Source organism: Homo sapiens, chromosome 4 (genome assembly GCF_000001405.40).
Source record: "Homo sapiens chromosome 4, GRCh38.p14 Primary Assembly".
In the NCBI taxonomy this organism is placed as follows: Eukaryota; Metazoa; Chordata; class Mammalia; order Primates; family Hominidae; genus Homo; species Homo sapiens.
In genome coordinates, this window is record NC_000004.12 from 53,222,559 (window position 1) to 53,250,143 (window position 27,585).

The following is a 27,585-nucleotide window of genomic DNA, read 5'->3' on the forward strand; positions in this document are numbered from 1 at the left end:
AGGGAAAACAAGACGGGACTTCAACACCAATTAAATTCATTGCAATTGGAAGAACTACTCCAAATAGCATTTTTTTTTTCACTATAATATTGATTCCAAATGACTTGCCCAGAGTAAGTCAATTCTAGTTCTGGTTACCATATTTAATCATGATTTCAGAGATATGTCAAAACATCAAAGGGATATCACTGCAAATAATATGCCAGAAGAAAGAACTGGTACCACAATGTTTAAAGCCCTAATTTGTATTGTGTCCTATCTGGTTACTGTTATCTTTGAAAAGTAATATAACTTCAGCTTTATGCATTTAATTTGGTACCCAGATATTTGCAGGCATAGGCAGTAGCAGATTCTACAGAAACGTATTTCTGTAGTCCCTCCAAGGAAGTTTTGTTTTCTTTCCCCCAAAAGAGCACGGACTGGTCACCAGATGTGGAACCCATATGGCACACAAACACGAGAGCCCTGGGACAGTAAGAATGGAGCTAATAAGCTCAACAGGCAGGAGCACCCATTCTGAGATGATGGACAAATGTTCAGTTCTATTGGCTTTCTGAAAAAAATATATAAATCATTTTATTTTTAAACTAAAAATATGGCTTGGCCTGTCATTTTCTCCAATTCTTCTCTTTTTTTAGTTTGAAAGGAAATTTACCCATATGTAATTTATTACTTAGTCTGAATTCTGTCCTTTTCGCATATAATTCATGTTGAGGTTTAAAGAAAGAAAACTAAATCAGGAACAGATAGTAAGATTGCTTTAACTAGTGAAAAGTTAAATTTTGTTTGCTGTAACTCTGAAGGAACTGTTATAGTTCATCAGTCACTAGGACCTGTATATTCTGTTTCTTGGTTATCTCTGGAATGTAATTCTTCCCCTCCAGGTGTCAGCCCTTTTTCCACAAACACATGCCTTACAGTCACACCCTGCCATGTGAGATCCTGCAACATGCTATGCGCTATCAGAACTCTGTGTCTTTGCATATACAGTTCCCATTGTCTTGCATGTCTTTCCCGTCCTTCCCTAACCGGCAATTCCCTTTCATCCTTCAAAACATAGTCTCACGGAACATTTTCTCATGGAAATCTCGTTTGGCTTGCCTAGATGCAATTATGACTTTTTAATGCCTTTTAAAATGAGCCACCGCAAATAAGTCCACCAATGTGTTTCTTTTCTAACATAAAAGAACTAAAGACAATACTGATGGCAGTTGACATTTATAGAGAGCTCTATTTATGCCAGACACAATGTTAACTACTTTATGCAAATCTCATGGAAGGTTATAAACTTAATATATAAAAAGCTCTTACAAATTACAAAAATAATACTTCTGCATTATAGATACTACGAAACACAAAGAAAATAAGAATCTCACAATCCACCTGAGAGAAGATAAAGATGGTCATAAATTCTTTGCTTCTCCTCCCCTTGGGAGGTGCAGTCTAATTCTTTTCCCTTCATTCTGGGCTAGTCAATTAAGTTCCTTCATTCTAGCTAGTCAATTACTTTCTGGAACTTTCAAGGCTAGGTGATAAAAAGTCTTACATTTGGCTGGGCGCAGTGATTCACGCCTGTAATCCCAACACTTTGGGAGGCCGAGGCGGGTGGATCATGAGGTCAGGAGCTCGAGACCAGCCTAACCAACATGGTAAAACCCCATGTCTACTAAAAATACAAAAATTACCCAGGCGTGGTGGCATGTGCCTGTAATCCAAGCTACTCAGGAGGCTAAGGTAGGAGGATCGCTTGAACCTGGGAGGCAGAGGTTGCAGTGAGCCGAGATCACCCCACTGCACTCCAGCCTGGGCAACAGAGCAAGACTCCGTCTCAAAAAAAAAAAAAAAAGAGTCTTACATTTTCTGCCAGTTCCCGCAGAACAATTTCTCTGGATACCTTAACTTCTGTGTAAGAAGTCTGAATACCCTGAGATTGCCATGATGGAGAGGCCATGCGTAGGCACTGCAGCTGAGTCCATCCTTCTACCTAGTCCCTACAAAGCCCAGATATATGACTGAAGCCATCTTGGATCATCTCTCTACAAGCTGAATAGCCCCCAAATAACCTTAGTAGATGCCATGTAGAGCCAAAGAATTGCTCAGCTCAGCTCTGCCTGAATTCCTCCCCCACAAACTGTGAGCTCTAATAAAATGCTGGCTTTAAGCCACTAAGTTTTGGGGTAATTTGCTATGCAGCAATAGATAACTGAAAAACCTACTACTTAGAAAACTATGATAATAATTGTGATGTATTTTCCAGTATTTCTTCTACTTTATATATCTAATCTCCCTCTACTTTCTTCACCTTTTTTTATTATTTAACAGAGTTAGCTTCATGGTATATATGTAGTTTTGTTTTTCATGAGAATAAACTCTCTTCTATTAACATTACATGAATAACATTTCCACACCTCATTAAAAATATTCTTCAATAACTTAATTTTTAACAACTATAACATGCATTCCATCAATCTCACTGTAAAACATCTAGGTTGTTCCTAATTTGTCATTATTATAAATAAAAACCATAAGGAAAATATTACAACATAAATCATATCACCATATTTGATTATATTCTTAATTATCTTAATCTGAAATGAAATTACCATAAAAAATATAAACCTTTTCAAGGTTTATTGCCAAAGTGCTTTGACAAAATTCACTCTTCCAATAGTAATGTTTCTGAATGAACATGTTACTGAGCTCTACCCAACACTAATTATTATTTGATAATCTTTGATAATTTTAAGTGGTAAATTACATCTCAGCATTGTTTGGGGTTTTTTATTACTAGGAAAACTGAACATTTTTTTCATATGCTTATTAGCCACTATTATTTCCTCATCTGTAAAATGGCTGGCCACATTTTAAAAATCATTTTTTCTGTTGAATGATGTTTTCCTTATCCATATGAACAAATTCTTCACATGTAATATACATCAATCTTTGTCTTATGGCAAATACTTTTCCTATTTTGTTTGCTTTTATCAAGGTGAGTTGATAACACCCTATATAAAATTTTTAGAGCTAATAATAATGGCTAAAATTTGTTGTGTTTTCTATGTTATTGCCAAAGGGCGACTACCTGACATAAATTTTTGTATTCTAAAGACTTAATGAATTTGCTATTATGATTATCCCCTCTAGTTTGCAAATGAGGAAACTGTGCCTTAATGAGGTAGATAATTTCTACCAAGATCACTCAGTAAGTATCAGCAGCATTTAGTTCTAGAACCCTCTAATCTTAAGGTCCTTTCTCTAAACCACTAAGCCATACTATTATCAAATTTGGTGGCTTTCCCCCTTTGTGATTAATGTCATGGCTTTTAGGTTTTTCCCTATTCCAAAATAAACTCAATGTTTACCAATATTTTCCGGTAGTTTACTTGTTATTTGGGGTATTTTTAATTTTTTTAAATTTAACAGTATAGAAATTTGATCTCGCTGTATTGCCCAGATTGGTCTCAACCTCCAAGCCTCAAGAGATCATCCTGCCTTGGCCTCCCGAAGTGCTGGGATTACAGATATGAGCCACTGCAACCAGGCTGGTTTTGGATTTCTAATTTATCTTTTAATATAGCAATAATCACTCCCCTCATCAATTGTTCTTAGCCACATATTAAATATTATTTCTTTTCCCACTGGTTTGTGATACTGCCTTTAACAAATAAAAAAGTCACTAAAATACTCTTGCATCTGTTCCTAAACTATCTTGCAGCAATACAACATTATTGGTAATTATTTTTATGGGGGGGAGGGGACTAATTGCTGAATTAAAATGTAAGGACCAAAACCCAAAAAGACTACTAGAAAATACTGATAAACATTATTGATGTATAATTGATATATATTGATATATAATATTGATAAGTATTATCATATGGGCTGACACAAGTCTTTTTCCCAACATTACTGTTTTTTAGGCTTTTTTGGCTGTTTTCAAGAATAACTTAATCAAATTATTTAAAAAATTTTTCACTAACATTCTGATGAGCAATGAAGTTCATAAAATAAATTGAGAGGAAATTTTTAATGAACACGTACTATCTGCCAGGTGGAAAAATAACAATAAACAAAACATGGGATCCCTGCCTTCAGAGAGCTAAGGAGACTGATAAGTTAGGCAATATTTAAATTAATTGAATTATTTAAATTAGGGTGATCAGTGCAAGAGGATGGGCAGCACCAAAAAAAGGCAGCTTACTTGGACTTGAAGGATGAGGTAACACATATAGGTAAAGAAATGACCCAGTAAAAGAGAAGATCACTGTGGCTGCCTCCTTAACCAGAAACCAACCAACCCTCAAAAACCTGTCTATCACTAACTAAATTATTTTTAACACTCTTGTACAGTTATCAGGGGATTACATTTTTTCTGTGGGTTATTTACCCCGATCTAAAAAAGGTATCCCTAATGAGGTGCATTTCAGCAAACTCCTTGCTGTTGAGGATGTCCTGGACCTTCTCATCCTTTCCTGTCATGCTGTCTTCCTGCGAAAGAAGATGGAGCATGTGGCTGACAGATGGAAAGATGGCCAGTATGTGTGACCTCTGTAAGCGTCTCCTCTGGCCTCTTATCTGAGCATCACCTGACCTTCTTCAGTGATGAAAATCCTTCCTATCACCACTCTACAATTTTCTATAAAAGGACACCAATTATAATTTCAGCCATAGAAAGGTGACAAAATTAAGTATAATGTGAGAAAAGGACATTGTATATGAGAGATGTGAAAATAAATTTTAAAGAGGAAAAAAATGGCAATTTCCTTGATGATTTTTCCTGTCACAGCAAACAGTGAAATTCTCCTGTGTAGCCAATGTTCACAAAGAAATTTAGATCTTAAATAAACCCATATAAGCCATCTATAGAAGGGTGTGCCATAGAGGGGATTCTTGTAAAGATGACGCTAAAGTTCTTCCAAAAATGAGAATCTTGGTATAAAAACGGCTAAGATTTTGAAGTAAATGCAAACAACAATACAAAGTCTTTGCATGAATTTAAAAACTATATTTGTTGTTTGGATCAAGCCTCACTACAGCAGAATACCTTCACCTTTGGGGCTGAGCACTGGGAAGTCTAAACCCTTTATTCCAATATGATTCACCCATCAGTCATAATATATGGCTGGAAAATGGCAAATAAGATGAACTACAAATACTGGAGGGGAGTGCTCCAAACGAAATTCCAGGGTATATATTTATTCATAAAACAAAAATAAGGAATTATTTCTGCAAAAAATCAAAAATTATGAATCTGACTTTATTTGTATTTTCTGATAAATGTATGTACAGATGATTTGCTTATAAACAGGCAGAGCTGCACTTCTCATACTAGAAGTGCAGTTTGACAATTACATTTTTTAATTTATATTTTCAAATAAGCTCTTCAATGTAGTGTGGTAGAGTTATTGAAAGCACAGACTTTGGAGTCAGGCAGAGACAGGATTGAATCCAGGCTCCACCACTTATAAACTATGTAACCTAGGTAAATACTTAACTTCTCTAAGCTTCTGTTCCTTCCTCTGTAAAACAGGAACAAGGATAGTTCCTAGAACTGTAAGGTTTGAATAAGACAATGCATATGAAGCATTTAAGCCTAGTTCTTGTCACTGGGCAAGAGCTCAATGGTGGTAGATGGGGTGGTAGTGGGGATCAACTATCTCATAATTTCAGTACAAACATCTTGTAAAGACTTCAGGATGATTTTACAAAGAACAGGGTAAAAATGGGAGTGGTGTGGTGAAACAAAAGTGATAAGGGTTTCTGGCAAGATTGATACATTTCTGACAACATTAGACCAAGTTAGAGACATGAGCAGCTATAGTCATCCTTCTTCTACGACTCTTGGCAAAAACCCTTATGTACAAGTTGTCACTTAAACTTGTTGTCTTCTGTTGCTTCAACAATAACATTACCTCTTTTATGAGTTTGATGAAGATAAAATAGATACAAACGTTAAGATATTTTCTATATCTCAGATATTGAAATAAGATATGCTTTGACAAAATTCAACAACACTTCATGCTAAAAACTCTCAATAAATTAGGTATTAATGGGACGTATCTCAAAATAATAAGAGCTATTTATGACAAACCCACAGCCAATATCATACTGAATGGGCAAAAACTGGAAGCATTCCCTTTGAAAACTGGCACAAGACAGGGATGCCCTCTCTCACCACTCCTATTCAACATAGTGTTGGAAGTTCTGGTCAGGGCAATCAGGCAGGAGAAGGAAATAAAGGGCATTCAATTAGGAAAAGAGGAATTCAAATTGTCCCTGTTTGCAGATGACATGATTGTATATCTAGAAAACCCATCATCTCAGCCCAAAATCTTCTTCAGCTGATAGGCAACTTCAGCAAAGTCTCAGGATACAAAATCAATGTGCAAAAATCACAAGCATTCTTATACACCAATAACAGACAAACAGAGAGCCAAATCATGAGTGAACTCCCATTCACAATTGCTTCAAAGAGAATAAAAAACCTAGGAATCCACCTTACAAGGGATGTGAAGGACCTCTTCAAGGAGAACTACAAACCACTGCTCAATGAAATAAAAGAGGATACAAACAAATGGAAGAACATCCCATGCTCATGGCTAGGAAGAATCAATATCGTGAAAATGGCCATACTGCCCAAGGTAATTTACAGATTCAATGCCATCCCCATCAAGCTACCAATGACTTTCTACACAGAATTGGAAAAAACTACTTTAAAGTTCATATGGAACCAAAAAAGAGCCCACATTGCCAAGTCAATCCTAAGCCGAAAGAACAAAGCTGGAGGCATCAAGCTACCTGACTTCAAACTATACTACAAGGCTACAGTAACCAAAACAGCATGGTACTGTTACCAAAACAGAGATATAGACCAATGGAACAGAACAGAGACCTCAGAAATAATGCCATGTATCTACAACTATCTGATCTTTGACAAACCTGACAAAAACAAGCAATGGGGAAAGGATTCCCTATTTAATAAATGGTGCTGGGAAAACTGGCTGGCCATATCTAGAGAACTGAAACTGGATCCCTTCCTTACACCTTATACAAAAATTAATTCAAGATGGATTAAAGACTTACATGTTAGACCTAAAACCAGGAAAACCCTAGAAGAAAACCTAGGCAATACCATTCAGGACATAGGCATGGGCAAGGACTTCATGTCTAAAACACCAAAAGCAATGGCAACAAAAGCCAGAATTGACAAATGGGATCTCATTAAACTAAAGAGCTTCTGCGCAGCAAAAGAAACTACCATCAGAGTGAACAGGCAACCTACAGAATGGGAGAAAATTTTTGCAACCTATTCATCTGACAAAGGGCTAATATCCAGAATCTACAATGAACTCAAACAAATTTACAAGAAAAAAACAAACAACCCCATCAAAAAGTGGGCCAAGGAGATGAACAGACACTTCTCAAAAGAAGACATTTATGCAGCCAAAAAAACACATGAAAAAATGCTCATCACCACTGGCCATCAGAGAATGCAAATCAAAACCACAATGAGATACCATCTCACACCAGTTAGAATGGCGATCATTAAAAAGTCAGGAAACAACAGGTGCTGGAGAGGATGTGGAGAAATAGGAACACTTTTACACTGTTGGTGGGATTGTAAACTAGTTCAACCATTGTGGAAGTCAGTGTGGCGATTCCTCAGGGATCTAGAACTAGAAATACCATTTGACCTAGCCATCCCATTACTGGGTATATACCCAAAGGATTAGAAATCATGCTGCTACAAAGACACATGCACATGTATGTTTATTGCGGCACTATTCACAATAGCAAAGACTTGGAACCAACCCAAATGTCCAACAATGATAGACTGGATTAAGAAAATGTGGCACATATACACCATGGAATACTATGCAGCCACAAAAAAGGATGAGTTCATGTTCTTTGTAGGGACATGGATGAAGCTGGAAACCATCATTCTCAGCAAACTATCGCAAGGACAAAAAACCAAACACCGCATGTTCTCACTCATAGGTGGGAATTGAACACTGAGAACGCATGGACACAGGAAGGGTAGCATCACACACTGGGGACTGTTGTGGGGTGGGGGGAGGGGGAAGGATAGCATCAGGAGCTATACCTAATGCTAAATGACGAGTTAATGGGTACAGCACACTAACATGGCACATATATACATATGTAACAAACCTGCACGTTGTGCACATGTACCCTAAAAGTTAAAGTATAATAATAAAATTTAAAAAAAAGATATGCAATATCTGAATCAGGTATTGAAATCAGATATTCAATACCTCAGATCTCTGAGGTATAATTTTGAAATAAAATTAGATGAAAATGCCTCACTAACTATAAAGAACTATACATACATCAAACCAATATGTACACTGTATTGTATGCTTCTTATAGGTCAGGCATATTCCAAGTGAAGTGAAAGCACAAATAAATAAGTTATAAAATGTCAGTCTAACAGTATGGGTATAGTTGTGCCAGAGTGAGATGGATGCAAATAAGCCATGCTACAACTGATAGGTATTATTATAGGTATATGCATAAGGGACTATGGCATACTAAGAAAGGAACCATTCATGTGTTAAGTAGGATATATATCCCTTATAAATTGAAAACTAGTTTTTTAAAAAAAAACCCTTCTTAATACTGAACAAAGTGTTTCAGACCTAACAGATGCTCACGATCTGTGCTGACTATAATCCTTATTATTTAACTTGCTCGTCCCTACTCACTAGATAATGCAAGCCGCACAACAGCACAGATTTTGTTTTTCTTGTTCATGGATTCAGCCTTGCTGTCAAAGCATGGCGTCTGGTGTCTAATAGGTGGCTCGATAAATATTGATTGAATGAATGGATTTTATGTTCTGGTTACATAAGAAATCATCTCCATTTGGAGGTCATTTCATAAGCTCTCCTACAAAAGCAAAATGTCTTCACTTCTAAACTTTAGTCTATATTTTCTCTTTTTTTACTGTATTATTTTATCATGCTAATCAGAAACACACTCAATTATTCCTATACCCAATCAATATATGAATTATTCTTAAGGAGAATTTAAATCAGGTGGGTGCCATTAAAAACTATCCTGGTCAATAGAGAAGAGTGCTGATGGTGTATGCCTTGGTTGATAAATTCATCATATTTAAATAGGCAGCTTTCCTCTAAAATGTTATGTTTATGAGATTACTGCTAATATACTTTTTTCTTTTCTTTTTCTCACTAAGGCTATAATCCCTTAAAAAATGTAGTACCAAGAAGAAAACAAATCCATCAAATAAAACTTACCTAAAAAAATTAAACAAAAAATGTTATATATATATTAAAGTTTCATGTAATTATCTTCCTTTTAGTCTCAAAACACCTTGATGTACTCTACATGTACAGATTTTATGTCTTTGTACTTTATAATGTTTTTTCTATCAAAACCAACGTTAAAGAATACAAAACAAAAACTAGTGGGTATCATATATTCAATAAGACAGAAGAGAAATTCTATATTTTTCAACAAAAATTAGTAACAAGAAATGCCAAACCCAAATATTTCCAGTTTATTTCCCTACTTTTTTCTATTTAAAAATTATGAATCCAGAATGTTGCAAGGAAAACAAACTTTAAATACTTACTAATATATAAAACAAAACAGCAACCAAAACAAAACAGTTCACTTACAAAAAGAAAAAAGGCTGCACCATCCCTATGTGGACGAACTACTCAAAGGAATCTTTTGTATTCTCTAGTAAAACTACAATAAAGATTTTTTTTAATCACATGGATGGATAACAATAGAAAGCTCCACGTGGAAGGGTGATAATCTATCAATTTTTAACACATATTTTTCCCCTGGAATAAGCTTTTTGGCAATTTTGTTTTGCTTATTTACAAAATCAGGAGACAAAAAAACAAGACTAGTATTCTTGCATTTTATGTTAGGAAAGATGCCTGTTAAAAACATACAGTACAACCAGTATGTAATTGCCCAGCTGTGGATTTCTTTTTCTGCACAGGACATGAAATATCATAAATTACTCTAGAAGAAATAGTTCCAGAATGTTTATAAAATTACACTGCAACACAATACTGCAAGTCATAAGCTAGTTCTGCTCCCACTGGACAGCCTTGAGTAAAGAAAGAAAGAGCTGAGGAAAGCCACATATTCCTCCTAAAGTATGTCCATCTTTAGGAGATTCGGATCATTCGACATTCATCACTTCAAGCATCAACACATTCTGGAGAAAAAAACCAGACAGACTTAACAGGTTCTGCTCAGCACTCTTCTACATCTTCCACCTGTCCACTTCTGCTGTGAGTCCTTTAACTTCAAAGTAAAGAATGAGAAGAACAGAGGGAGATAGCAAGGCATAGACTTTCCAGAGATCATGGAGAAATCCATGCGCTAGCCCAACACTCCTGTCTAGTCTCAGGCACCCACTAATGTTAAGCTAACCTCTAGCACTCTCGGAATCCTTAAGTCAGAAATACTCTAGGTATTCTGCCAGCCTAGGCATAGGCTTCTTTCAGAAAAGCACACCTTTAGGCACATTAGACCTAAATGCCCTGTGAACAGACATAAGCAAGACTTGGTTTCTCCAAGGCTAATGCTAAAAAGAAAAAAAAATCAATTAGTGTTATGTCCTTTTATTCTTAGGAACCTAGGTGTTTAACAAAGAAAAAAAAAATCCTAGCACCACTGGGGTAGTTGTCATGGTACAAACAGCTAGAGGGAGTGGCTCAGGATGGAAGATTCAGTTAGTGTAGGGAAGCACAAACCACTGTTATTTCCCTTTTGGTCATGCAAGAATAACCAGAATGGTTGTATCCTCCTTGTTTTTCACAAAATGAAGACCCACCCATATGCGCCTTCAGTCACTGGCATAAGGTGTGTATTTGAAACTTTTTTAGTAAACCCATGAAATGGTAAGAACCAAAATTGTTAGCCTTAAACTTACTTTGCCTGATTACTAACTCTGGTTTCCAGCTGGAATAACACATGATATCATTGCTTCTAAAGCAAGGCCAGTTAAAAAGCACTGGTTTACATAGCCTATATATTCGACTCTCATTTTCTGATCAGATGCTTGGCACAGATTCACCTAACTCCAAATCTGGCCATATGCCTACCCTGGGCAAAGGAACAAAAGTTCATGGTGTTATTTTCTTTTTTCTATTTGTCTCTCTTTCATTATTCAAAAATACAATACTTTAATGTGATAAGGGAGAAGAACTACATTAAAATAACTATTCTGCAAGAAGAAATGAAATTGAGATGATATATCCTTATGGAGAAATGTGTAGGTCTCATGAGTGTCCAATTAAAAGCTTACTGAGGAGTAAAACTCAAGATAAAAATTTAACGTGAATGCCAAATTTATAGATATATCAAAGAAAAACAAACTAATGGGAAACAATGCATTTCAGTAATCCCAGTACTCATAAAAAAAGTTATCAATTAAATGCAGAATCTAGGACTTATTTTTCTCACAGAAGCAATACTAGAAAAGCAGGACTCAGATACTCATACCAGCCTATAAAATCCTACTTTGTCCTGTATCTTTGAAAAATGGCACAAGTAGTAGTAATGTACTGATAAATCCACATTACAAAAGAAATTGTATGCACATCCAAAAAAAAATATTTGTTTCAGTTTGACAATGTTACTGTCTAGCAGACAGCATGTGCTCAATACATTGTTATTACACAGACTGAAACAGAATACTTTGGAAAAGGCTTTTCAGCTTTTCCCCTCCACTATTTGGAAGTGACACCTCTCTTGGCAAAGAACTTGAGGGAGGAGCTTCCCTGGAGAGGAGAGAAGGTGATGGAGAGATTTATATTTCTTGGAAGTAGTAAAGTTTATTAATTCTCTCTATAAATAATACAGTATCCCCCAGGTATTCTGAATGATTTTAAAAAATGGGGACTGGAGGACAGAGGTTTTGTCAATTAAATAAAAGTGTCTAATCATATGAATGTCTGAGGAGCCAACATGTTAGGCAGCTCAGATCTCTTTAATTCCTAATGTTCTTTATCTGGGACTTTTTTGATACATTTCTTTGGAAAATTTAAAAATTTTAAAAATTTAGGTTTGCACCAAAGTAAGTGAAATATTCATACACTACTTCCAAACACCCAGAATCTGGCGACGTTTAAGAGCACAAGCATCAAGATAATTCATTATTTTGATCACTTCCTTAGCAGGTCATAAAATGATCAGAATTACAAGGCTCACAGCACGAACTCCTGTGATGAATATTGCAACAAAAGGTGACCATATTAATTGGAATGTAGTTCACCTACTATCACAGAGATCCAAAATTACAGTGCCTTAAGCAAGATAGGAATGTATGTCTTACTCACACAAAGTGAAAATAGGTGATCCTGGGCTGGTATGGTGTTTCCACCATCATGAGATAACCGACCACGGTCTTCCCATCTTTTGCTCAAACATCCCCAACACACAGCTTCCTCTATGATCCAAGATGGCCACTCCTGCTCCTGCCATTCTGGCTGCATTTCAGCAAGCAGGAAGAAAGGGGATAAGGGAAGACATGTGCCTGCCCTTTAAATGCACAGCCTGAACCTGGCCCACATCACATCTACATAGGTCTCATTTGCCAGAACCTGGTCTCATCTAGTTGGAAGGGTAACTGGGAAGCACATTCATTACTTGGGGTGGCCATGTGCTATGCAAAAAGGTGAGAACAGGTGGTAAGAACATAAAGAAGCCTCTCTGTCCTAACAGCCACAATGAGATATCTCTCCAGACTCTGGTAAACCATGTAAACATTTATCAATTTATGGCAGGTACCAATCTGTGGCAAGTAAATTCCATGTTTATAACAAACTACTCCAATTCCCATGAGTGGGAAGTTATGCCTGCTACTACAAATGTGAAAATGAAGATTCTACATTTGAGGACATACTCATGAATAAAGTACCCAAGGTCTCTGCTCTCACTTATCTTATATTCTAGCAGAGAGAGATAAAGTAAACAAAATAATGTCAATAAACGAGAAGTAAATATAAAACAACAGTGGCTCCAAGCTATTCAGGGAAGTCCTCCTTGAGAAGCCCACAATTGAGTTTTGATCTGAGCCAGCTATGTGAAGAGAAAGTAGCAATTGTAAATGCTCTGAGATTCCCCATTTGTCAAGATCAAAGTTACCTCAGCTCTAGTTTTCTGTATGTAAGCCTGATATGTGTGGAAGAGGAAATGAAAGTATGAGCATGCGTGTGTGTGCATACGTGTGTGCATACATACGTGTGTGCATACATATGTGTGTATAAGGACAAAAAGGGAAATCTATAACACTAACACTGGAGTAAATACTGAATAACCAAGAATAATGTAGAACACTCTAAAGCCTGGGGCAATCTATGGACTGAGGAGGATAAAAAAGCAAATGGTTAGAGAAGTTGAGAGGCACAGTAGAAACTTTGTATTCTGTGATGGTTAATATTGAGTGTAAACTTGGATTGAAGGATACGAAGTATTGATTCTGGGTGTGTAAGTGAGGGTATTGGTAAAAGAGATTAACATTTGAGTCAGTGGGTTGGGGAAGGCAGATCCACCCTTAATCTGGTGGGCACAATCTAATCAGCTGCCAGCGAATATAAAGCAGGCAGAAAAACATTAAAAATAGAGACGGGCCTAGCCTCTCAGCCTACATCTTTCTCCCATGCTGGAAGCTTCTTGCCCTCGAACATCGAACTCTCAAGTTCTTCAGTTTTGGGACTCAGACTGGCTCTCCTTGCTCCTCCACTTACAAGGTCTCCACTATTGTGAGACCTTGTGATTGTGTAAGTTAATACTAAAGTGGAGTTTATTAAGCATATGTAAGTGTGTGTGTATATATATATGATATATTTATTAGGATATATATATCACACATATATAAGGATATATATATATATATATCCCATTAGTTCTGTCCCTCTAAGAGAACCTTGACTAATACATATTCAAAAGCTATTTTTCTTAGTTGTTTTAAATGGTGCTTCTTGTTATATAAAGTTAACTAACTTTGAGTATATTGTTCTAACTAAATTGCAGTTCAAAATGAATAATCAGCAGTTATGAATAAAATGTCTGGCATGTTTTTTTTTAATCAAAATGAGTTCTATGCAAAACAGGTTTAAAAATAAGCAAATACAGTAATTATATATTTATATATTTATATTGCTTTAAAAATAATAATTACAGGGTTATTTTAACTAGGATAATCTGTCATGATTTCTAACTACTTAAAGTCACTGTTTTATTTATTTATTTATTTATTTATTTATTTATTTATTTATTTATTTTTTATTGATAATTCTTGGGTGTTTCTCACAGAGGGGGATTTGGCAGGGTCATAGGACAATAGTGGAGGGAAGGTCAGTAGCTAAACAAGTGAACAAAGGTCTCTGGTTTTCCTAGGCAGAGGACCCTGCGGCCTTCCGCAGTGTTTGTGTCCCTGGGTACTTGAGATTAGGGAGTGGTGATGACTCTTAACGAGCATGCTGCCTTCAAGCATCTGTTTAACAAAGCACATCTTGCACCGCCCTTAATCCATTCAACCCTGAGTGGACACAGCACATGTTTCAGAGAGCACAGGGTTGGGGGTAAGGTCATAGATCAACAGGATCCCAAGGCAGAAGAATTTTTCTTAGTACAGAACAAAATGAAAAGTCTCCCATGTCTACTTCTTTCTACACAGACACGGCAACCATCCGATTTCTCAATCTTTTCCCCACCTTTCCTGCCTTTCTATTCCACAAAGCCGCCATTGTCATCCTGGCCCGTTCTCAATGAGCTGTTGGCTACACCTCCCAGACGGGGTGGTGGCCGGGCAGACGGGCTCCTCACTTCCCAGTAGGGGGCGGCCGGGCAGAGGCGCCCCTCACTTCCCGGATGGGGGGTCTGGCCGGGCGGGGGGGCTGACCCCCCCACCTCCCTCCCGGACGGGCGGCTGGCCGGGCGGGGGGCTGACCCCCACCTCTCTCCCAGATGGGGCGGCTGGCCGGGCAGAGGGGCTCCTCACTTCCCAGTAGGGGCGGCCGGGCAGAGGCGCCCCTCACCTCCCGGACGGGGCGGCTGGCCGGGCGGGGGGCTGACCCCCCCACCTCCCTCCCGGACGGGGCGGCTGGCCGGGCAGAGGGGCTCCTCACTTCCCAGTAGGGGCGGCCAGGCAGAGGCGCCCCTCACCTCCCGGACGGGGCGGCTGGCCGGGCGGGGGGCTGACCCCCCCACCTCCATCCCGGACGGGGCGGCTGGCCGGGCAGAGGGGCTCCTCACTTCCCAGTAGGGGCGGCCGGGCAGAGGCGCCCCCCACCCATCTCCCTCCCTGACGGGGCGGCTGGCCTGGCGGGGGGCTGACCCCCCCACCTCCCTTCCGGACGGGGCGGCTGGCCGGGCGAGGGGCTGACCCCCCCACCTCCCTCCCGGACGGGGCGGCTGGCCGGGCAGGGGGCTGATCCCCCCACCTCCCTCCAAGATGGGGTGGCTGGCCGGGCGGGGGGCTGACCCCCCCACCTCCCTCCCGGATGGGGCGGCTGGCCGGGCAGAGGGGCTCCTCACTTCCCAGTAGGGGTGGCCGGGCAGAGGTGCCCCTCACCTCCCAGACGGGGTGGCTGGCCGGGCGGGGGGCTGACCCCCCCACCTCCCTCCCGGACGGGGCGGCTGGCCGGGCAGAGGGGCTCCTCACTTCCCAGTAGGGGCGGCCAGGCAGAGGCGCCCCTCACCTCCTGGACGGGGCAGCTGGCCGGGTGGGGGCTGACCCCCCCACCTCCCTCCTGGACGGGGCGGCTGGCCGGGCGGGGGCTGATGCCCCCACCTCCCTCCCGGACAGGGCGGCTGGCCTGGCGGGGGGCTGACCCCCCTACCTCCCTCCCGGATGGGCGGCTGGCCGGGCAGGGGGCTGACCCCCCCACCTCCCTCCCGGATGGGGCGGCTGGTGGGGCGGGGGCTGACCCCCCCACCTCCCTCCCGGATGGGGTGGCTGCCGGGCGGAGACGCTCCTCACTTCCCAGATGGGGCGGCTGCCGGGCGGAGGGGCTCCTCACTTCCCAGACGGGGCGGCTGCCAGGCGGAGGAGCTCCTCGCTTCTCAGACGGGGTGGCCGGGCAGAGATGCTCCTCACCTCCCAGACGGGGTTGCGGCCGGGCAGAGGTGCTCCTCACATCCCAGACGGGGCGGCGGGGCAGAGGCGCTCCCCACATCTCAGACGATGGGCGGCCGGGCAGAGACGCTCCTCACTTCCTAGATGTGATGGCGGCCGGGCAGAGGTGCTCCTCACTTCCTAGGTGGGATGGCGGCCGGGCGGAGACGCTCCTCACTTTCCAGACTGGGCAGCCAGGCAGAGGGGCTCCTCACATCCCAGATGATGGGCGGCCAGGCAGAGATGCTCCTCACTTCCCAGACGGGGTGGCGGCCGGGCAGAGGCTGCAATCTCGGCACTTTGGGAGGCCAAGGCAGGCGTCTGGGAGGTGGAGGTTGTAGCGAGCCGAGATCACGCTACTGCACTCCAGCCTGGGCACCATTGAGCACTGAGTGAACGAGACTCCATCTGCAATCCCAGCACCTCAGGAGGCCGAGGCTGGTGGATCACGTGCGGTTAGGGGCTGGAGACTGGCCTGGCCAACACAGCGAAACCCCGTCTCCACCAAAACCAGTCAGGCGTGGCGGCGCGAGTCTGCAATCGCAGGCACTCGGCAGGCTGAGTCAGGAGAGTCAGGCAGGGAGGTTGCAGTGAGCCGAGATGGCAGCAGTACAGTCCAGCTTTGGCTCAGCATGAGAGGGAGACCGTGGAAAGAGAGGGAGAGGGAGACCATGGAAAGAGAGGGAGAGGGAGACCGTGGGGAGAGTGAGAGGGAGAGGGAGAGGGAGAGGAGGGAGAGGAGGGAGAGGGAGAGGGAGAGGGAGAGGGAGAGAGCGTCCCCAATCTTTTAAGTCAAAGTCACTGTTTTAATAAGACGGAGTTTCGCTCTTGTTGCCCAAGCTGGAGTGCAATGGCTGGATCTCAGCTCACCGCAACCTCTGCCTCCTGGGTTCAAGTGATTCTCCTGCCTTAGCCTCATGAGTAGCTGGGATTACAGGCATGTGCCACCACACCCAGCTAATTTTGTATTTTTTAGTAGAGACGGGTTTTTCCATGTTCGTCAGGCTGGTCCTGAACTCCTGACCTCAGGTGATCCCAGCCTCCCAAAGTGCTGGGATTACAGGCATGAGGCACCATGCCCGGCCTTTGTTTAACACTTAAAATATTATGCTACTTACATTTCACTGTATAGACCCAAGCTAAATTAAGACATTCTCGAGCTATCAGCAATCCACTCATAAAAATCTTCCTAGCCTAAGATCTCATAATGTCAGCCTAAAAGGTCATTCCCAAAGCATCCCTCAGTCCTAGACTACATTGGGAGAAAGTTCAGTGTTGCTGAAATAATCATGATATATTCTCAGCATATTCAAGCAGTCACAAAGGTATCTGATAAAAGATCACCCTCCTTAACTTATGAAAGGTGCTACAATGGGTTGACTACAACAAGTGAACAACTTTTTGTCATACTCAGGGCCAGTGAAGGCAAACTGCCACCATGTTTTTGCTCCAGTGGTTTTGCCAACACAGCAGAACCAGAAAGATATGAAGTCGGGCCCAGGTCTGAGGGAATTCTCATCTACCTCTTACCTTCAAAAATCCCATTTCATTGATCTAAGACTCTATAATTGATCGTAACACACACCATTATTTTATGTGCTCCCAAGCTAGAAAAAAATAGTTTCAACTAAAATATGCTACCAATTTCAGGATGTACCCAAATTTCAGAAATGTGAAAAAATGGACATATCAGAATCAATGAAAAATGGTAGGTAGTATTCTTCTAGCCAAATCTGCCCCTTTTGTTTACAGAATGGAAAGTGACCTTCACTATTTTCAACTTAATCCTCAAAAAGGGAAGGTTGCCTGTATTATGTCACCATTTCATTGATTCCAACTTCTTTTTGCATACAACTATTAAATACAAATGACCAAAGGGGCAACTAATACTTTCCCATTTGACGTTTGTCCAAAAATATTTAAAACATTTCATTCAAAACAACTTCTGATTACTGTTTGAATCTCAAAATAGCTACAGAAAACAAAACAAAACAAAAACCTCTTTGCAGCTCTGGTTCTGAACAAGTTAAGAAATAAAGCAAAGCTTGAAAAAGACATGCAGTCAGGCATCCGGAAGTGGCTGCCTATGCCACAGGGCAGTGGTCGATGGCTTCTGCTATCCAGTGCCTTGAGTTCGATTTCTTAGAAACAGTTTGAGATGAAGAAAAGAACATTGAATGGACCTCTCCAAGATGGTCAACTAGACACGGCCAGGAGGAACACCTCCCACACCAAGGGACCAGGACATCAGGAAGACTGGCACACTTCTAGCAGATCTTCAGAGGGAAGGCATTGAGAGCAGACAGATGGAAGACACAGATACTAGACTGAAGGGGAAGGAAGCTGGGAATGCTGTACAGTGCTACCAGCACCAGGACTTATTTCTAGCCCCCAACAACTCCTGCAGAAGAGGTGAGTTGAATAGGCAAGGAGCAACCTGCTCTCACCATAGGCTTCTGGAATCCTGGCAGGAGGAGACCCCTCAACCACCAAAGACAAATGAGTTGGCAGAGAGATGCTCAGAAAAGTACGAGGGGCAGAATTCCAGCCACTGCAAAGCCCAGAGGATTTGGTGCGGTGGCAACTATAGTGGAGCATGGACAGAGATACCCATCCCCTAGGCTCAACTTGCTGCCATAGGAGACTTTAGCCCCCAAGGGAAGTGTCAGATCTGAACTCTGCAAGGCAGTCTTCCCCATGAGACAGGGCCAGTCCAACCCAAGCACCCCTCAGTGTGCTGGCCTCTCCCAGCCTGGCTGTGCCTGTTTGCAATCCAGTCTCCAGGTACCTCCAGGGGGCCCACATCATAGCTCCTGTGCTGGTGGACCATACCTGACCAGCAGCGTGCTCCAGTAGAGCAGCCCCATTGATATACACCAGCCCACTTGTATCCTCCCACCACTGCAGCCTCCCATGTACCACTTTGCTGGCACACACCCTGCACATCGCTTTGCCAGCACATGTGTGCACAGGCAAACCAAACCTTGCCTTCCGTCCCATGCCAGCATGTATGTGTGTGTGCACCCTGTCATGCCACTGCTGCCAGTGAGAGTTCACTCCCTCCCCCTCCTCCTGCTGCACCACCATTGTTGTCTGAGCATTAGTGGGTACTGAGCTTACCAGCCCCAATTCTGCCAGCACCCCACCCCTGTGCCAACATTGTGGTGGCTTTGAAAAGAGACATGGAAAACAGTGGACATGCCTCCACTCTGAGTGGCACCACCACCTGCATGGACATGTACAGAGGACATACAAAGTCCTATGCCCACCAGTACCACACCCCCATGATAACACCATCAGCAGTGCAAAAGGGCACAATTGCTGGACAGGGGCTCCCAGCCCACACAAGCTGTGCTGCCATTGCTGCAGCTGTGAATGCCGAAACAGAGGCTGGCACCCCAGCACCCACTAGCATCCTGCCGCAGCTGACAAGCATGTAGCCTGCTGCACTGCTGCAGCTAGTGCTGCTAGTATGTGCAAACAAAAATGAATCCTGCTGCCACCAGACTATGAAGTGCATTGGCTGACACCACCCATCAGAGTGTTGTGACCAGCAGTATGGGAGCACCTCAGTCCCCTAAGTGCAGCCGGTTCCTAACCTTGAGGAGCCAGAGAACAAAGCCAGTGCCAATACCAGTCACCCGAAGTTAGAACACACAAGCTTGGACTCCTGAGCAGAGACCTGGCTCCCTAAAAATCTTCCAGAAAGGAAGCCAGTTGACTGAACTCACATTATACCAAAAATAAACCCCCAAGGTCACCAAATAGGATAAAAGAGGAAAAAAAATCCAAAGGACAGCAACTTCAAAGACTGAAGGAACATTAGCCCACAAAGATGAGAAAGAACCAGTGCAAGAACTCTGACCACTCAAAAAGCCAGTGTCTTCTTCCCTCCAAATGACTGCACTAGCTGGAGAGCAAAGGTTCTTAACCAAGGTGAGATGGCTGAAATAACAGAAATATAATTCAGAATATGAATAGATATAAAGATCAGCAAGATTCAGGAGAATGCTGAAACTCATCTAAGGAAGCTTAGAATCACAATAAAATGATACAGGAGCTGACAGACAAAATAGCCAGTATAAAGAAGAATGTAGTCAATCTGATATAGCTGAAAAGCCCACTACAAGAATTTCAAAATGTAATATCACAAGTACTAACAACAGACTATAACAAGTTGAGGAAAGAATCTCAAAGCTTGAAGACAGGCTTTCTGAAATAAGCCAGTCAGACAAGAATAAACCAAAAAGAATGAAAAAACATAAATAAAACCTCTGAGAAATATGGAACTATGTAAAGAGACTAAATCTATGACTCATTAGTGTTATAGAGATGGGGATAATGGAAGCAACTTGAAAAACATATTTTAGGATATCCTCCATGAGAACTTCCCCAACCTTGCTAGAGAGGCCAACATTCAAATTCAGAAACTGCAGAGAACCCCAGGAAAATACTTTACAAGAAGATCATCCCCAAGACACATAATTAACAGATTCTCCAAGTCAAAATGAAAGACAAAATGTTAAGGCAGCTAAACAGAAAGTATAGGTCACCTATACAGGGAAGCCCATCATACTAACAGCAGACCCCTCAGCAGAAACCCTAAAAGCTAGAAGAGATTGGAGGCCTATATTCAACATTCTTAAAGAAAAGAAATTCCAACCAAGAGTTTCATATCTGGCCAAACTAAGCTTTATAAGCAAAGAAGAAATAAGACCCTTTTCAGACATGCAAATGCTGAAAGAATTAATAATTACCAGACCTGCCTTACAAGAATATCTGAAAAAAACACTAAATATGAAAAGGAAAGACTGTTACCAGCCACTACAAAAACACACTTAAGTACACAGACTAGTGATGCTGTAAAGCAACTATACAAACAAGTTGGCATAATGACCACTTATCAACATGAAGAGAGGATTAAATCCATACATATCAACTTTAACCTTGCAAGTAAATGAGCTAAATGTCTCCATTAAAAGGCACAAAGTAGCAAGCTGGAAAGAAAAAAAAAAGAGAGAAAAAAAAGAACCAGTGGTATGCTGTCTTCAAGAGACCCATCTCACATGTGATGACACCCATAGGCACAAAATAAAGGGATGGAGAAAAATCTACCAAGCAAATGGAAAGCAGAAAAAAGCAAAGGTTTCAATCCTAATTTCAGACATAACAGACTTCATTTGTTTGTTTGTTTTTGGTATTTTCTGTTTTTCTCATTTTTAAATTTATTTACAACTTTATTCAATGAAGAGACATAACAGACTTTAAACCAACAAAGATCAAAAAAGACAGAGAAGGACATAATAGAAAATACATTATAGAAAAGGGTTCAACTCAACAAGAAAATCTACCTATCCTAAATGTATATGCACCTAACACAGGAGCATCCAGATTCATAAAACAAGATCTTAAGGACCTTCAAAGAGACTTAGACTCCCACATAATAATTGTGGGAGACTTCGACACTCCACTGACAGTATTAGATCATTGAGGCAGGAAATTAACAAAGATATTCAGGACCTGAACTCAACACTGGACCAAATGGACCTGATTGACATATACAGAACTCTCCACCCCAAAACAACAGGATATACATTCTACTCATCACCACATGGCACAAACTCTAAAACTGACCATACAATCAAATATAAAACAATCCAATCCTCAGTAAATGCAAAAGAACTAAAATCATACCAACCAGTCTCTCAGACCACAGTATAATAAAAGTAGAATTCAAGACCAAGAAAATCACTGGAAACCATACAATTACATGGAAATTAAACAACTTGCTCCTCAAAGACTTTGGGGTAATTCATGAAATTAAGGCAAAAATCAAGAAGTTCTCTGAAACTAATGAGAATAAAGATACAACATACCAGAATCTGTGGGACACAGCTAAGGCAGTGTTAAGAGGAAATGTACAGCACTAAATGTCCACATCAGAAAGTCTGATGTCCACATCAAATTAACAACCTAACATCACAACTAAAAGAACTAGAGAAGCAAGAGAAAACCAACTCCAAAGCTAGCAGAAGACAAGAAATAAGCAAAATCAGAGCTGCACTGAAGGAGACTGAGATGTGAAAAACCATTCAAAAGATCAACCAACCCAAGCCTTGGGGTATTTCTGAAAAAAAAAAATAATAATAATAATAAGATAGACCAATAGCTAGACTAATAAAGAAAAAAAGAGAGAAGATTCAAATATACACAATTAGAAAGAACAAAGGGGATATTACCACTCACCCCACAGAAATTCAAATAACAATCAGAGAATACTATGGACACCTCTATGTACACAAACCAGAAAATCTAAAAGAAATAGAAAAACTCCTGGACACATACACCCTCCCAAGAATCAACCAGGAAGAAACTGAATCCCTGAATAGACCAATTACAAGCTTTGAAATCCAATCAGTAACAAATAGCCTACCAACCAAAAAAAAGCCTGGGATCAGATGAATTCACAGCTGAATTATACTAGATGTACAAGAAGAGCTGGTACAATTGCTACTGAAACTATTCAAAAAATTGAAAAGGAGGGACTCTTCCCTATCTCAGTCCATGAGGCCCGAATTATCCTGATAGAAAAACCTGGTGGAGACATCAAAAAAAGGGGAAAACTTCAGGCCAATATCCTTGGTGAACATTGATGCAAAAATCCTCAACAAAACGCTAGCAAACTGAATCCAGAATTACATTAAAAAGCTAATCCACAATGATCAAGTAAACTTTATCCATGGAGTGCAAGGTTGGCTTAACATATGTAAATCAATAAACATGATTCATCATGCAAACAGAACCAAAGGGAAAAAACCACATGATCATCTCAATAGATGTAGCATAGGCTTTCAATAAAATTCAACATCCCTTCATGTTGAAAACACTCAACAAACTAGGTATTGAAGGAATATACCTCACACAAACTAAGTATTGCAGGAATATACCTCACACAAACTAGGTATTGCAGGAATATACCTCATACAAACTAGGTATTGAAGGAACATACATCAAAATAGTAAGGACCATCTATGCCAAATCACAGCTAACATCATACTGAATGGGCAAAAGCTGGAAGCATTCCCTTTGAAAACTGCCACAAGACAAGGGTGCCCTCTCTCACAACTCCTATTCAACATAGTATTGGAAGTCCTGGTCAGAGCAATTAGGCAAGAGAAATAAATAAAAGACATCCAAGTAGGAAGACAGAAAGTCAAACTACCCCTGTTTGCAGATAACATAATCCTATATCTAGAAAACTCTATAGTCGTGGCCCACAAAGCTCCTCAAGCTAAATTCAGCAAAGTCACAGAATTCAAAATCAGTGTACAAAAATCACTATCATTCCTATACACCAACAATAGCCAAGCGGAGAGCCAAATCAGAAATGTAATCCCATTTACAACTGCCACAAAAAGTATAAAACACCTAGGAATATAGCTAATCAGGGAGGGGAAAGATCTCTACAATGAGAATTACAAAACACTGCTCAAAAAAATCAGAGATGGCACTACAAAATAAAAAAAATTTCATGCTCATGGATAGGAAGAATCAGCATTGTCAAAATGGGTATACTGCCCAAAGCAATGTACAGATTCAATGCTATTTCTATCAAAATAACAATGACATTCTTTCCAAAACTAGAAAACACTATTTTAAAATTCATATGGAACAACAACGAAAAACCCGAATAGCCAAGGGAATCCTAACCAAAAAGAACAAAGCTGGACACATCACACTACCCAACTTTAAACTATACTATAAGGCTACAGTAACCAAAACAGCATGGTACTAGTGCAAAAACAGACACATAGACCAATGGAACAGAATAGAGAGCCCAGAAATAAGGCTGCACGCCTGTGACCATCTAATCTTTGACAAAGCTGACATAAATAAGCAATGGGGAAAGAACTCCCTATTCAATAAATGGTGCTGGAATAACTGGCTAGCAGAAGATTGAAAGTGGACCCTTTCCTTATACCATACATAAAAAACAACTCAAGATGGATTAAGGACTTAATTAATTGAATGTAAAACCTAAAACTATAAAAACCCTGGAAGATAACCTAGGTAACATCATTCTGGACGTAGGAACTGGCAAAGACTTCATGATGAAGTTGCCAAAAGCAAGTTTAACAAAAGAAAAAAATTATAAATGGGATCTAACCAAACAAAAGAGCTCTGCACAGTAAAAGAAGCTATCAACAGAGCAAACATACAGCCTACAGAATGGAAAAAATTTTTGCAAACTATGGATCTGACAAAGGTCTAATGTCCAACATCTGTAAGGAACTTAAAAAATTTACAAAAAAAAAAAAAAAACTCCAAACAACACCATTAAAAATTAAGTGGGCAAAGGTTGAATACTAAGAATGAGAATTAAAAAAACAAAAGTTGAGCAAAGGACATGAACAGATACTTTTCAAAAGAAGACATGCATGTGGCCAAAAAGCATATAAAAAACCAGCTCAAAATCAGTGATCATTAGAGAAATGCAAATAAAAACCATAGTGACATAATCTCACAACAGCCAAAATGGCTATTACTAAAATGTCAAAAAACAGGTGCTGGTGAGTTTGTGCAGAAAATGGAACACTTGTACACTGTAGGTGGGAGTGTAAATTCGTTCACGCAGTATGGAGATTCCTCAAAGAGCTAAAAACTGAACTACCATTCGACCTAGGAATCCCATTACTAGGTATGTACCCAAAAAAATATAAATTGTTCTATCATAAAAACACATGCACATGTATGTTCATTGCACTATTATTCACAATAGCAAAGACATGGAATCAATCCAAATGCCCATCAATGAAAGACTGGATAAAGAAAATGTGATACATATACACCATGGAATACTATGCAGCCATAAAAAATAACAAGATCAGGCCGGGCGCGGTGGCTCACGCCTGTAATCCCAGCACTTTGGGAGGCCGAGGCGGGTGGATCATGAGGTCAGGAGATCGAGACCATCCTGGCTAACAAGGTGAAACCCCGTCTCTACTAAAAAAATACAAAAAATTAGCCGGGCGCGGTGGCGGGCGCCTGTAGTCCCAGCTACTCGGGAGGCTGAGGCAGGAGAATGGCGTGAACCCGGGAAGCGGAGCTTGCAGTGAGCCGAGATTGCGCCACTGCAGTCCGCAGTCCAGCCTGGGCAACAGAGCGAGACTCCGTCTCAAAAAAAAAAAAAAAAAAAAAAAAAATAACAAGATCATGTTTGGGGGAGGAGCCAAGATGGCCGAATAGGAACAGCTCCGGTCTACAGCTGCCAGCGTGAGCGATGCAAAAGGCAGGTGATTTCTGCATTTCCATCTGAGGTACTGGGTTCATCTCACTAGGGAGTGCCAGACAGTGGGCGCAGGTCAGTGGGTGCAGCGCACCATGCGCCACCCGAAGCAGGGCGAGGCATTGCCTCACTGGGAAGCACAAGGGATCAGGGAGTTCCCTTTCTTGGTCAAGGAAAGGGGTGACAGACGGCACCTTGAAAATCGGGCCACTCCCACCCAAATACTGCGCTTTTCTGACGGGCTTAGGAAACGGCGCACCAGGAAATTATATCCCGCACCTGGCTTGGAGGGTCCTACACCCACTGAGTCTCGCAGATGCTAGCACAGCAGTCTGAGATCAAACTGCAAGGTGGCAGCGAGGATGGGGGAGGGGCGCCCGCCATTGCTCAGGCTTCCTTAAGTAAACAAAGCAGCCAGGAAATTCGAACTGGGTGGAGCCCACCACAGCTCAAGGAGGCCTGCCTGCCTCTGTAGGCTCCACCTCTAGGGGCAGGGCACAGACAAACAAAAAGACAGCAGTAACCTCTGCAGACTTAAATGTCCCTGTCTGACAGCTTTGAAGAGAGCAGTGGTTCTCCCAGCACGCAGCTGGAGATCTGAGAATGGGCAGACTGCCTCCTCAAGTGGGTCCCTGACCCCTGACCCCCGAGCAGCCTAAGTGGGAGACACCCCCCAGTAGGGGCAGACTGACACCTCACACAGCCGGGTACTCCTCAGGGTCTGGAGTAGACCTCTAGCAAACTCCAACAGACCTGCAGCTGAGGGTCCTGTCTGTTAGAAGGAAAACGAACAAACAGAAAGGACACCCACACCAAAAACCCATCTGTACATCACCATCATCAAAGACCAAAAGTAGATAAAACCACAAAGATGGGGAAAAAACAGAACAGAAAAACTCGAAATTCTAAAAAGCAGAGCGCCTCTCCTCCTCCAAAGGAACGCAGTTCCTCACCAGCAACGGAACAAAGCTGGACGGAGAATGACTTTGATGAGTTGAGAGAAGAAAGCTTCAGACGATCAAACTACTCCGAGCTATGGGAGGAAATTCAAACCAAAGGCAAAGAAGTTAAAAACTTTGAAAAAAATTTAGACGATTGTATTAAATAGAATAACCAATACAGAGAAGTGCTTAAAGGAGCTGATGGAGCTGAAAGCCAAGGCTCGAGAACTACGTGAAGAATGCAGAAGCCTCAGGAGCCGATGAGATAAACTGGAAGAAAGGGTATCAGTGATGGAAGATGAAATGAATAAAATGAAGTGAGAAGGGAAGTTTAGAGAAAAAAGAACAAAAAGAAACGAACAAAGCCTCCAAGAAATATGGGACTATGTGAAAAGACCAAATCTACATCTGATTGGTGTACCTGAAAGTGACAGGGAGAATGGAACCAAGTTGCAAAATACGCTGCAGGATATTATCCAGGAGAACTTCCCCAATCTAGCAAGGCAGGCCAACGTTCAGATTCAGAAAATACATAGAACACCACAAAGATAATCCTTGAGAAGAGCAACTCCAAGACACATAATTGTCAGATTCACAAAGTTGAAATGAAGGAAAAAATGTTAAGGGCAGCCAGAGAGAAAGGTCAGGTTACCCACAAAGGGAAGCCCATCAGACTCACAGCAGATCTCTCGGCAAAAACTCTACAAGCCAGAAGAGAGTGGGGGCCAATAATCAACATTCTTAAAGAAAAGAATTTTCAACCCAGAATTTCATATCCAGCCAAACTAACCTTCATAAGAGAAGGAGAAATAAAATACAGACAAGCAAATGCTGAGAGATTTTGTCACCACCAGGCCTGCCCTAAAAGAGCTCCTGAAGGAAGCACTAAACATGGAAAGGAACAACCGGTACCAGCCACTGAAAAATCATGACAAATTGTAAAGACCATCAAGGCTAGGAAGAAACTGCATCAACTAACGAGCAAAATAACCAGCTAACATCATAATGACAGGATCAAATTCACACATAACAATGTCAACTTTAAATGTAAATGAACTAAATGCTCCCATTAAAAGACACAGACTGGCAAATTGGATAAAGAGTCAAGACCCATCAGTGTGCTGTATTCAGGAAACCCATCTCACATGCAGAGACACACATAGGCTCAAAATAAAAGGATGGAGGAAGATCTACCAAGCAAATGGAAAACAAAAAAAGGCAAGGGT

The 27,585-nt window shown here is 41.3% G+C and overlaps 1 protein-coding gene across 8 annotated transcripts in view, besides 2 other annotated features; it reads right to left on the reverse strand.

Annotated features, from left to right (window-relative positions):
- SCFD2 (sec1 family domain containing 2) overlaps window positions 1-27,585 on the reverse strand; it is a 493,080-nt gene that overhangs the window by 349,577 nt on the left and 115,918 nt on the right. The window lies entirely within an intron of this gene.
- Window positions 14,208-14,719: an enhancer, noted in NCBI's record as "NANOG hESC enhancer chr4:54102933-54103444 (GRCh37/hg19 assembly coordinates)". NCBI's record gives its function as "activates a minimal SCP1, AML or CMV promoter by ChIP-STARR-seq in primed H9 embryonic stem cells {active_cell/tissue: H9 hESC(primed)}" and the evidence as "EXISTENCE:reporter gene assay evidence [ECO:0000049][PMID:30033119]".
- Window positions 14,720-15,231: an enhancer, noted in NCBI's record as "NANOG-H3K27ac hESC enhancer chr4:54103445-54103956 (GRCh37/hg19 assembly coordinates)". NCBI's record gives its function as "activates a minimal SCP1, AML or CMV promoter by ChIP-STARR-seq in primed H9 embryonic stem cells {active_cell/tissue: H9 hESC(primed)}" and the evidence as "EXISTENCE:reporter gene assay evidence [ECO:0000049][PMID:30033119]".